Source organism: Homo sapiens, chromosome 16, assembly GCF_000001405.40.
Source record: "Homo sapiens chromosome 16, GRCh38.p14 Primary Assembly".
NCBI classification, from domain to species: Eukaryota; Metazoa; Chordata; class Mammalia; order Primates; family Hominidae; genus Homo; species Homo sapiens.
Genome location: NC_000016.10, coordinates 30,788,200 through 30,801,299, shown reverse-complemented (window position 1 = coordinate 30,801,299; position 13,100 = coordinate 30,788,200). Strand labels below are relative to the sequence as shown.

Sequence of the window (13,100 nt, the reverse complement as noted above, 5' to 3'; positions counted from 1 at the left end):
TCTTGGTGCCCTCGTGTACCTTCTGAGATACTTGCTGCCCTGGCCATGTTACACCTGAGAGAATTTGATGCAATGTGAAGGATCCCCCCCACTTTTTTTTTTTTTTTTTGAGACAGTCCCACTCTGTCAACCAGGCTGCAGTGCAGTGGCTTGTTCTCGGCTCACTGCAACCTTTGCCTCCCGGCTCCAGCAATTCTCCTGCCTCAGCCTCCCAAGCAGCTGGGACTACAGGCATGTGCCACCGTGCCTGGCTAATTTTTGCATTTTCTTAGCAGAGACGGGGTCTCACCATGATGGCTAGGCTGGTCTCAAACCCCTGGCCTCAGGTGATCTGCCCGCCTTGGTCTCCCAAAGTGCTGGGTGGCGTGAGCCACCCCGTCTGGCCACTCTTTTTCACTTTTTAAATTTTTTTGTAGAGATGGGGGTCTCACTATGTTGCCCAGGCTGGTTTTGAACTCCTGGCCTCAGGAGATCCTCCCACCTCAGCTCTTTTTCACCTTTTATATTTTGAAAAAGAATTCATGGCCGGGCGTGGTGGCTCATGCCTGTAATCCCAGCACTTTGGGAGGCTGAGGCGGGTGCATCATGAGGTCAGGAGATCGAGACCAGCCTGGCCAACGTGGTGAAACCCCATCTCTACTAAAAAAAATACAAAAATTAGCTGAGCATGGTGGTGGGTGCCTGTAGTCCTAGCTACTCAGGAGGCTGAGGCAGGAGAATTGCTTGAACCCGGGAGGCAGAGGTTGCAGTGAGCCAAGATTGCCCCACTGCACTCCAGCCTGGGCAGCAGAGCGAGATTCCATCAAAAAAAAAAAAAAAAAAAAAGAGAGAGAGAGAAAGAAAGAGAAAGAAAAAGAATTCACATGGTTAAAAGAAATTCAAACTGCATAAAAAGGTAGATGTATAAAAAAAGCAAGATTCCCTCCTGCTTCTGCCCAGCCCCTTCCCGTTCCCTCTCCTGAGCTGAGCTATTACCAATTTGTCGTGTCTTTCCGAGCTAGTCCATGCATATGCAAGCATCTCCTTTTAGAAAGCAGAAAATGGATGGCACACAGTAATGCTTGCTTTTCCCCTTGCATTTTTTCACATCAGCACCTATTTTGGAGAATGTTTCATGTCAGTTTCTACATAGCTGCTTTTATTTTCAAAGCCAAGTATTCCATTATATGGATATGCTATGATTTATTTAATCAACTCTCCTATGGTGGACATAGGTTATTTTCAGTCTTTTGCTATAAAAACATTTCAGTGGAAATTGTAGTATGTAAATACATCTTCATGTGCATGTGTGACCATGCCTGTGGGATCTAGAAGTGGAATTGCTGCATCAAAGGGTATGGGCATTTTGAATTTTGATCAGTCTAGCCAAATCTTTCTTCAAAGAGGAAGTGCACATCTTACTAATGTTTGAGAGTGCATCTTTCTCCACATAGTAGATAATTAAACTATTTACATTTGATAACCTCTTAGGTTAAAAATAGTATTTCAGGCCGGGCACAGTGGCTCACACCTGTAATCCCAGCACTTTGGGAGGCCAAGGCAAGTGGATCACCGGCGGTCAGGAGTTCGAGACCAGCCTGAGTAACATGGTGAAACCCCTGTCTCTACTAAAAATACAAAAATTAGCCGGGTGCATGTGCCTGTAGTCCCAGCTACTCAGGAGGCTGAGGCAGAAGGATCACTTGAGCCCAGGAGGCGGAGGTTGCAGTGAGCCGAGATCCCGCCACTACATTCCAACCTGGGCAACAGAGCAAGACTCTGTCTCAAAAAAAAAAAAAAAAAAAAAGTGAGGCCGGGCGCGGTGGCTCACGCCTGTAATCCCAGCACTTTGGGAGGCCGAGGCGGGTGGATCATGAGGTCAGGAGATCGAGACCATCCTGGCTAACAAGGTGAAACCCCGTCTCTACTAAAAATACAAAAAATTAGCCGGGCGCGGTGGCGGGCGCCTGTAGTCCCAGCTACTCGGGAGGCTGAGGCAGGAGAATGGCGTGAACCCGGGAAGCGGAGCTTGCAGTGAGCCGAGATTGCGCCACTGCAGTCCGCAGTCCGGCCTGGGCGACAGAGCGAGACTCCGTCTCAAAAAAAAAAAAAAAAAAAAGTGAGTAGTGAGTCTGTGAGTGCAAAAATTAGCCGGTTGTGGTGGTGTGCGCCTGTAGTCCCAGCTACTCGGGAGGATGAAGTGGGAGGGTTGCTTGACCCTTGGGAGGTCGAGGCTGCAGTGAGCTAGGATTGCACCACTGCACTCCATCCTGGGCAACAGAGTTAAGACCTGTCTCAAAAAATGAATAAATAAATAAAGCCACTATTACAAATCATATGTCCCAGCCTTAATCTAGAGAATGTCAAATTTTAAGCACTGGTTAGGCCGGGTGCGGTGACTCATGCCTATAATGCCAGCACTTTGGGAGGCCGAGGCAAGTGGATCACCAGAGGTCGAGAAGTTCAAGACCAGCCTGGCCAACATGGTGAAACCCTGTCTCTACTAAAAATACAAAAATTAGGCCAGAGACAGTTGCTCATGCCTGTAATTCCAGCACTTTGAGAGGCTGAGGTGGGCGGATCACGAGGTCAGGTTCGAGACCAACCTGGCTAACATGGTGAAACCCCATCTCTACTAAAAACGCAGAAATTAGCTGGGCATGGTGGCACGCACCTGTATTCCCAGCTACTTGGGAGGCTGAGGCAGGAGAATCACTTGAACCCGGGAGGCAGAGGTTGCAGCGAGCCGAGATCACACCACTGCACACCAGCCTGGGCGACATAGCGAGACTCTCTCAAAAAAAAAAAAAAAAATTAAGCACTGGTGAAGTCTGAGAAAAACCAGGACAACATGTAACTTTTAACCCTATGGGGTTACTCCATAGATACACAGTATCTCCTCCCTGCTCAGCTCCAGGGGCCATTCAGAGAGAATGAAACACAGTGGCCCTAGAAACATCCAACCAGTAAGAAGATGGTTTCTGTTTCATACTCTAAGAGAGTAGTATTTGGACGTTTTGTTGTTTGTTTGCTGTTTTACTTTTTTTCTCTTTTGTAGAGACAGGGTCTCACTGTGTCACCCCGGCTGGAGTGCAGTGGTGCAGTCATAGCTCACTGCAGCCTCCAATTCCTGGGCTCGATCCTCCCACCTCAGCCTCCCCAGGTGCTGGGATTATAGGCATGAGCCACCGCACCCAGTCTGCTTTTGTACTCTTAGTGCTATCCACTAGGTTTGGAGCAAGCCTGCCTATAGGGGCAGTCAAGCTGCACTGGTATTAAGCTGGTCTAGCTTCAAGTCATCTGTCAGACCCCCTCCTTTTTTTCTCAGAAGTCTAGGGTCTCGTTATGTTGCCCAGGCTGGTCTTGAACTCCTGGCCTCAAGCAATCCTCTTGCCTTGGCCCCCACAAGTGCTGGCATTACAGGTGTGAGCCACCTTGCCTGGCCAGTAATGGCAGCTTTAAAAGCATGACTGTCAAATTCATGGCAGCCATACTCAGTATCATACATCATTGGGGCTTTGTTTGTCCATCCGTGTCTGTGTTAGACTGGGTCCAGAACTAAGGGATGGGGTTGAAGACGTGGCCCTGTGCATCTCAAAATATCGGTTTGCTGAAAACCCACAGGAGAACTTTCCTGGATGTGCCACATGAAGTGTGGACCCAGTATTTTTTTTTTTTTTTTTTGAGACAGAGTCTCACTCTGTCACCCAGGCTGGAGTCAGTGGCATGATCTCGGCTCACTGCAACCTCCACCTCCCGGGCTCAAGCGATTCTCCTGCCTCAGCCTCCTGAGTAGCTGGAACTACAGGCATGCGCCACCACGCCCCGCTAATTTTTTTGTATTTTTAGTAGAGACAGGGTTTCACCATATTGGCCAGGCTGGTCTCGAACTCCTGACCTTGTGATCTGCCCGCCTTGGCCTCCTAAAGTGCTGGGATTACAGGCTTGAGCCACCGTGTCCGGCCTGGACCCAGTATTTATTTGTACAGGTCTCTAGAAAGATCAGCCAATCTACAAGCCACTTTTAGCTATTGTATGGAACTTTATACCATATGTTTTGTGTACCAACACTAGTTTCATGTTATAATTCCCCCTTTAATTTCCCTTTGCATTTCAGTTTTTTGTCTTGTTAATGATACTACTTACTCCATTACTACTGCTACTGTCAGTAACAATGGCCAAGATTTAGGGACTATGAGTCAGTAAGGATCAGATGCCAGGCACCTGTTGTGTAATATGTGGCTCTCTAAATGCTTCATGTCCTTTTTGAAACCAAGCAAGTATAAACAAACAAACACAACTGTAAAATTCCCTCCTCTCCTTTATGGGACCCACTTAAAGGTGTTCTTTAAATATCTGAAGCCTTATATAACTAGAGAAAGGCTGCACAACTTCAACTTCATAGGTCACCTTATAAATACGTGTTTGAAAATAAACCAGCTGGGCACGGTGGCTCACGCCTGTAATCCCAGCACTTTGGGAGGCCAAGGCGGGCAAATCACTTGAGGTCAGGAGTTCAAGACCAGCCTGGCCAACATGGTGAAACCCCGTCCCTACTAAAAATACAAAAATTAGCCAGGCATGGTGGCGCACGCCTGTAATCCCCGCTACTCAGGAGGCTGAAGCAGGAGAATCACTTGAACCCGGGAGGCGGAGGTTGCAGTGAGCCAAGATGATGCCATTGCACTCCAGCCTGGGGGACAAGAGCGAAACTCAGTCTCAAAAATAATAATAATAATAAAAAAATAAATAAACCTACAAAGAAAACAAACAAACAAACAAACAAACTCTTAGCAGTCAGAAGCCATTAGTCTAGTGAGAATACCTTTACAAAACTCAACCCCTGGCCAGGTGCAGTGGCTCATGCCTGTAATCCCAGCAGTCTGGGAGGTTGAGGTGGGAGGATCACCTGAGGTCGGGAGTTTGAGACCAGCCTGGCCAACATGGTGAAACCCTGTCTCTACTAAAAATACCAAAATTAGCCCAGCATGGTGGCGCATGCCTGTAATCCTAGCTACTCGGGAGGCTGAGGCAGGAGAATTGCTTGAACCCGGGAGGTGGAGGTTGCAGTGAGCCGAGATCGCGCCACTGCAATCCAGCTTGGGCGACTCTCTAGTGTGCTGCAGTGAGTGTGATCTTGGCTAACTGCAACCTGTGTCTCCCAGGTTCAAGAGATTCTCCAGCCTCAGCCTCCTGAGTAGCTGGGATTACAGGCCTGAGCTACCACACCTGGCTAATTTTTGAATTTTAGTAGAGACCGGGTTTCACCATGTTGGCTAGTCTGGTCTCGAATTCCTGACCTCCAGTGATCCGCCTGCCTCGGCCTCCCAAACTGCTGGGATTACAGGCGTGAGCCACTGTGCCCGGCCTATACATTTATTTTATTTACCCATTTATGTATGATTTTCTATAGCTTAAAGTTATGCTGATTTTTTAAAAAATATAAAAATACCATGATTTAAAAAACAAAACAACAACTGTGTTTAAGCCCTCTACTGATGATAAGGACCTGGCTGGGCGTGGTGGCTCACACCTGTAATCCCAGCACTTTGGGAGGTCAAGGCGGGCGGATCACGAGGTCAGGAGTTTGAGACCAGCCTGGCCAATATGGTCAAACCCTGTCTCTACTAAATGCAAAAATTAGCCAGGCTTGGTGGCGTGTACCTGTAGTCCCAGCTACTTGGGAGGCTGAGGCAGGAGAATTGCTGGAACCTGGGAGGTGGAAATTTAAGTGAGCCAAGATTGCACCACTGCACTCTAGCCTGGGTGACAGAGTGAGATTCCGTCTCAAAAAAAAAGAAAAAAAGAAAAAAAGATAATAAGGACCACAGAGGGTTCTGAAGGGGGAACATACTGGTACCTTTTTTTTTTTTTTTTTTTTGAGACAGAGTCTCGCTCTATCGCCCAGGCTGGAGTGCAGTGGCGCGATCTCGGCTCACTGCAAGCCCCGCCTCCCGGGTTCACGCCATTCTCCTGCCTCAGCCTCCTGAGTAGCTGGGACTACAGGCACCCGCCACCGCGCCTGGCTAATTTTTTTGTATTTTTAGTAGAGACGGGGTTTCACATGTTAGCCAGGATGGTCTCGATCTCCTGACCTTGTGATCCACCCATCTCGGCCTCCCAAAGTGCTGGGATTACAGGCCTAAGCCACCGTGCCCGGCCCCATACTGGTACTTTTAGGAAGATCCATGGGGCACCAGATGGGCAGGGAGAAGTGAAGGGGGCTGGAGTGGGGACAACCCATTTGAAAGTCACTGTGGTGATTCAGGAATGAGGACCTGAGGGCTCCAGTGGCCTGGGGTGGGGGGTGAGGGCAGCAGGAGCACCACAGGAATCAGGATCTACTGATTAAGGGGGTGGATCCCTCAGGCCTTGGGGAACAGAATGATCAGGTGTGGTGTAGGGGAATGGAGCTGGTGAATCTGTGGTGATGGCCTAGTGGAAAGATCTGTTAGGCAAATGGAGATAAAGAACAAAGTGAGGAGGCGGTGGCTCATGCCTGTAATCCTAGCACTTTGGGAGGCTGAGGTGGGAGGATCACTTGAGGTCAGGACTTACAGACCGGGAGTTCAAGACTAGGTGTTTGAGATTAGCCTGAGCAACAGAGCAAGACCCTGTCTCTACAAAAAATAAAAAAATTAAGGGGGTGCGGTGGCCCATGCCTATAGTCCCAACTAGTTAGGAAACTGAGACAGGAGGACCACTTGAGCCCAAGAGGTCAAGGCTGAAGTGAGCTGTGATCACGCCACTGCCCTCCAGCCTGGGTGACAGAGCCAGACCCTGTGTCTTAAAAACAGGGGGGCGGGGCCGGGCACAGTGGCTCATGCCTGTAATCCCAGCACTTTGGGAGGCTGAGTTGAGGGGATCACTTGAGGTCAGGAGTTCAAGACCAGCCTGGCGAACATGGTGAAACCCTGTCTCTACTAAAAATACAAAAATTAGCTGGGCATGAGATGGCGCACGCCTGTAGTCCCAGCTACTCAGGAGGCTGAGGCAGGAGAATCGTTTCAACCTGGGAGGTGGAGGTTGCAGTAAGCCGAGATTGCGCCACTGCACTCCAGCCTGGCGACAGAGTGAGACTCTTGTCTCAAAAAACAAACAACTACAAAAAAACAAGGGGATGGCAGTGAGGAGAGGGCTATGGGCTGAGCAGTGGACATCTAGGGATTTTGGAATTGGCCACATTGAGATTTTTCAGGAAGAGAACACAAGGGAAGGGCTCAGGTCTGAGCCTTGGGAAATGCAGCTGTTAGCAGGCACCAGTAGGGCAGGAGGTCTGATGTGTGAAGCATTAGGGAGACATGGTAGGTTTTTGGGCAGTAAGTGACTGATCATGAAATCCCAAGGTGGGAGGGGCCTGCTAGCTCCTCAGCCTCAGCTCTTGCCCCACATTTAAGGACTGCAGTCCTGAAAAGCAGCCGCCAGCACACCTGTGGCTCACATGTCTCCAGGAAGGAGGCCCACCTGGCCTGACGGTGGCCTCTGCAGCCTCCCCTGCCTGCGGTGAGACCCTCTTCATGTGAGAGGGTGCCTCAGGCGTGGAACAGCATGGGTCCCTCCAGCATCACCATCCTGCCCTCTAGAGTATCCCTGGCCAGACACCAGAGGTTGGAGCTTATGATGGTGAGTCCTCACAGGTTAAACACTCCCGGTGTCATCTCAGGACATGGCTTTGAGAATCCTCTATCTCCTATCTACCAGGCCAAGGGCTGTGAGCTCAGACAAGGAAGAGTGAGGCCAACCCGGCTCCGCTGGTCACCTCCTTTGGGAGAGGGAACACATTCTTCCCAAGTGCTTGGACACACATTATCTCATTTACCCCTCTGTCCCTTGGGTACCAAGGCTCATCTTCTTCCCAAGGAAGAGGAAGCTGAATCTCCAAGAGTTGCCCAAGACCACACCAGCCAGTGAGGATGGTGCAGGGTTTGTATTGGGATTCAGTCAGGCTGGTAGGAAAAATATTAGATAGTTTTAGAGATAGATACAAATCTTCTTGGAAGGCCGAGAAGTTTGCATTAGCTTCAGTAGTAGATATGGTTGAAGGCAACCTGTTCTTTACTTTTTAACAAATTAAAGTAGTAATAAAGGCAGAGTAGTTTACCTAGCTAGCTTCTTTACTCATTCGATCTTAAAACTAACTTTTGATGTACCAGATGCTTAAGTGCTTTTTAATCGGGAAGTCCGCAATGTCAATTACCTTCTAATGGTGTTGACTCAAGCTTTTGTTAATTAATCTTACTGAATAAATATGAGTCTGACTAGCTGATCAGGGTCGCAGTCGCAACTGTTTACAGGACTCAGCACGGAGCCTGTAAGCGGCTTGGACCCTCAGCTGGAGTGGCAGAGCAGAGTATCTGTGTGCCGTTATACTTTATTCATCCATCGCCAGGTCAGGGGTCTGCAAGGGACAGACTCCCCGCAGCTGGTGCCCCCTCGAAAGGAGTGCTGCTGCAGGTTTGGACCCGGGTCTACCTCCAGGACCTCACTTTTTTGTTTGTTTTTTGTTTTGAAATGCAGTTTTGCTCTGTCACTCAGGCTGGAATGCAGTGGCACGATCTTGGCTCACTGCAACATCTGCCTCCTGGGTTCAAGTGATTCTCCTGCCTCAGCCTCCCAAGTAGCTGGGATTACAGGCGCCCACCATCATGCCCAGCTAATTTTTGTATTTTTAGTAGAGATGGGATTACAGGTGTGAGCCACCGCACCTGGCCAGGAACTCACTGTTATTGCAGCCCCTCGGGGCATAAGGCCCATAACTAAGAAGAGCATTGGGCCGGGCATGGTGGTTCACGCCTGTAATCCAAGCACTTTGGGAGGCCGAGGCAGGCAGATCATGAGGTCAGGAGTTCGAGACCAGCCTGGCCAATATGGTGAAACCCCGTCTCTACTAAAAATACAAAAATTAGCTGGGCGTGGTGGTATGTGTCTGTAGTCCCAGCTACTCGGGAGGCAGAAGAATCCCTTGAACTCAGGAGGTGGAGGTTGCAGTGAGCCGAGACCGTGCCACTGCACTCCAGCCTGGGCAACACAGCAACACTCGTCTCAAACAAACAAACAAAGAGAAGAGCATTGGGTGAGTTGTTCATGACAGGTGTGGGGGTGGGATCCTCTACATCCCTGCAAGAGCTCCCCTGCCAGGCAGGTTGCTGCCATGGCTGCGATGCCAGCTGATTGAGGGCAAGAGGACATGGCAGCCTTTATATCCCTAGGAGCAGGACACCCAGACTCTTCCTGGAGGATGTATTGGCCCAAATGGGGGTGCCCTGCCCTTCCCAGCTCCTCTCTCCAACTCTGAGGGAGAAGACGGAGGGACTGAGAGGCTCACCCTTGGGTCCCAGACACGCTTGGGCCCATCTGAGCAGGAGAGACGTGTTTAGGATCCACGGTGGCTCTGAAGTCACCGTGCGTGGATTTAAATCCACTCCTGCCACTGGTGACCTGTGTGCAAGTGACTTACCCTTTCTGTCCCAGGATGATAATAATAATGGTGCCATGAGTTGTGGAGGTTTAAGGAGTCATTACATGCAAACACAGTGCCTAGTGCATAAGTGCTCAATAAATGTAACTATGTCAGCAGGCACCATCCTCATGTGTTACTCTGGAGCTGGGCGTGGTGGCTTATGCCCATCATCTCAGCACTTTGCGGGGTGAAGATGGGAGGACTGCTTGAATCCAGGAGTTTGAGACCAGCCTGGGCAATATAGTGAGATCCTATTTCTATAAAAATATTTAAAAAATTATTCAGGAAGAAGTTTTGTGAGGAACAAAAAAATTTTAAATTAAGTTAGCCAGGCATGGTGGCACGCACCTGTAGCTTCAGCTACTTGAGAGGCTAAGGTGGGAGGATTGCTTGAGCGTAGAAATTCAAGGCTGCTGTGAGCTATGATCGTGCCACTGCACTCCAGCCTGGGTGACAGCAAGACACTGTCTCTAAAAATAAAAAATTACTCTGAACCTTGGAGACACAGACTAAGGGGTCCAGAATCTATACCTACAGTTAAACGGGAGTTGGAACATCAGCAGTGAAGGACCATTCATATAATGAAGCCACCTTGGCCTCAGGGTTGGGGACACAGAGGAATGACAGGGATGGTGACCAGCTGGCAGGTCAGTGCCCTGTAAAGACGCAAGCTGCCCAGCAACAGCCAGTTACTGACATGTGAAAATGTGGATCACGTTGCCACATCTTTGGATTTTCCAAAGAAGCAGGAAATTCAGGCCAGGCGCGGTGGCTCAGGCCTGTAATCCCAGCACTTTGGGAGGCTGAGGTGGGCAGATCACAGCGTCAGGAGATTGAGACCATCCTGGCTAACACAGTGAAACCCTGTCTCTACTAAAAATACAAAAAAATTAGCTGGTTGTGGTGGTAGGCGCCTGCAGTCCCAGGTACTCAGAAGACTGAGGCAGGAGAATGGTGTGAACCCGGGAGGCAGAGCTTGCAGTGAGCCAAGATTGCACCACTGCACTCTAGCCTGGGTGACAGTGCGAGACTCTGTCTCAATCAATCAATCAATCAATAAAGAAGCAAGAAATTCAATTTTTAATTTTTTTTTCTTTTTGAGATAGAGTCTTACTATGTCACCCAGGGTGGAGTGCAGTGGCATGATCTCAGCTGACTGCAACCTCTACCAACTGGGTTCAAGCAATTCTCATGCCTCAGCCTCCAGAGTAGCTAGGACTACAGGTGCATGCCACTATGTCCAGTCTCACTCTGTCACCCAGGCTGGAGTGCAGTAGTGCGATCTCTGCTCACTGCAACCTCCACCTCCCGGGTTCAAGCAATTCTCCTGCCTCAGCCTCCTGAGTAGCTGGGATTACAGGTGTGCGCCACTATGCCCAACTAATTTTTGTATTTTTAGTAGAGACGGGGTTTCACCATGTTGGTCAGACTGGTCTCGAACTCCTGACCTCGTGATCCGCCTGCCTCAGCAACCCAAAGTGCTGGGATTACAGGCGTGAGCCACTGCGCCCAGCCAGCCCCAGCTAATTTTTGTATTTTTAGTAGAGATGGGGTTTCACCATGTTGGCCAGGCTGGTCTTGAACTCCTGACTTCAGGTAATCCTCCCGCCTCAGCCTCCCAAAGTGCTGGGATTACAGGCATGAGCCACCATGCCAGGCAATTTTTAATGTGTGTTTTTTGTTGTTGTTGTTGTTGTTTGTTTTTTGAGACAGAGTCTTGCTCTGTCGCCCAGGCTGGAGTGCAGTGGCACGATCTCGGCTCACTGCAAGCTCCGTCTCCCAGGTTCACGCCATTCTCCTGCCTCAGCCTCCCAAGTAGCTGGGACTACAGGCGCCTGCCACCATGCCCGGCTAATTTTTTGTATTTTTAGTAGAGACTGGATTTCACCGTGTTAGCCAGGATGGTCTTGATCTCCTGACCTCATGATCCGCCTGCCTCGGCCTCCCAAAGTTCTGGGATTACAGGCGTGAGTCACTGCGCCCGGCCTAATTTTTTTTAAAATTATTATTATTATTATTTTGAGACTGAGTCTTGCTCTTGTTGCCCAGGCTGGAGTGCAGTGGCGCCATCTCGACTCACTGCAACCTCCACCTCCTGGGTTTTAAGTGATTCTCCTGCCTCAGCCTCCTGAGTAACAGGGATTACAGGTGCACGCCACCATGCCCAGCTAATTTTTTGTATTTTTAGTAGAGACAGAGTTTCACCATGTTGGCCAGGCTGGTCTTGAACTCCTGCCCACAAGTGATCTGCCCACCTCAGCCTCCCAAAGTGCTGGGATTACAGGTGTGAGCCACCTCGCCAAACCATCTTTTTTTTTTTTTTTTTTGAGATGAGAGTCTCGCTCTGTCACCCAGGCTGGAGTGCAGTGGCATGATCTCGGCTCACTGCAACCTCCACCTCCCAGGTTCAAGAGATTCACCTGCCTTAGCCTCCCAAGTGGCTGGGACTACAGGTATGTGCCACCACTCCCGGCTAATTTTTTGTATTTTTAGTAGAGACAGGGTTTCACCATGTTAGCCAGGATGATCTCAATCTCCTGACCTCATGATCTGCCCGCCCTGGCCTCCCAAAGTGCTGGGATTACAGGCATAAGCCACCGTGCCCTGCCCGGACTTTTTTTTTTTTTTTTGAGACAGGGTCTCACTCTGCCACCCAGGCTGGAGTGCAGTGGTGCAATCATGGCTCACTACAGCCTCCACCTCCCAGAATTAAGTGATTCTCCTGCCTCAGCCCAAGTAGCTGTGACCATAGCGATGCACCACCACGCCAGGGTAATTGTTTGTTTTTGTTGTTGTTGTTGTCTTTCTTTTTTTTTGAGACCGAGTTTTGGTCTTGTTGCCCAGGCTGGAGTGCAATGGCACGATCTCAGCTCACTGCAATCTCCGCCTCCTAGGTTCAAGCGCTTCTCCTGCCTCAGCGTCCCAAGCAGCTGGGATTACAGGTATGCACCACCACGCTGGGCTAATTTTTGTATTTTAGTAGAGATGGGGCTTCTCCATGTTGGTCAGGCTGGTCTTGAACTCCTGACCTCAGGTGATCCACCCACCTTGGCCTCCCAAAGTGCTGGGATTACAGGCATGAGCCACCGCGCCCTGCCCAGCTAATTGTTTTTAAGTTTTTTGTAGAGACAGGGTTTCACTATGTTGCCCAGCCTTCAAACTCCTGGGCTCAAGTTACCCTTCTGCCTCAGCCTCCCAAAGTGCTGGGATTACAGGCATGAGCCACCAGGCCTGGCCTTTAGCAATTTTTTCTCTTTCCTGTTTTCTCTTTTCCTTCCTTCCTTCCTTCCTTTTCTCTCTTTCTCTCCCTCCCTCCCTCCTTCTTTTTTTTTTTTTTTTTGCGACAGGATCTCACTCTGTCGTCCAGGCTGCAGTGCAGTGGCTCAATCTTGGCTTATTGCAACCTCTGCCTCCCGGGCTCAAGCGATCTGCCTGCCTCGGCCTCACAAAGTGCTGGGATTATAGGCATGAGCCACTGCGCCTGGCTAATTTTTGTATTTTTAGTAGAGACATGGTTTCACCATGTTGTCCAGGCTGGTCTCAAACTCCTGACCTCAAGTGATCCGCCTGCCTTGGTCTCCCAAAGGGTTGGGATTACAGGCGTGAGCCACCGCACCCAGCTGCCTTTAGTAATTTCTGACCTTTGGTTTATTCTTCCCCC

General features: G+C 49.7%; 1 annotated feature.

Annotated features, from left to right (window-relative positions):
- Nucleotides 5,247-5,450: a silencer, noted in NCBI's record as "fragment chr16:30807171-30807374 (GRCh37/hg19 assembly coordinates)". NCBI's record gives its function as "represses an EF-1alpha promoter that drives an FKBP-Casp9 reporter gene in an ReSE screen in K562 erythroleukemia cells {active_cell/tissue: K562}" and the evidence as "EXISTENCE:reporter gene assay evidence [ECO:0000049][PMID:32094911]".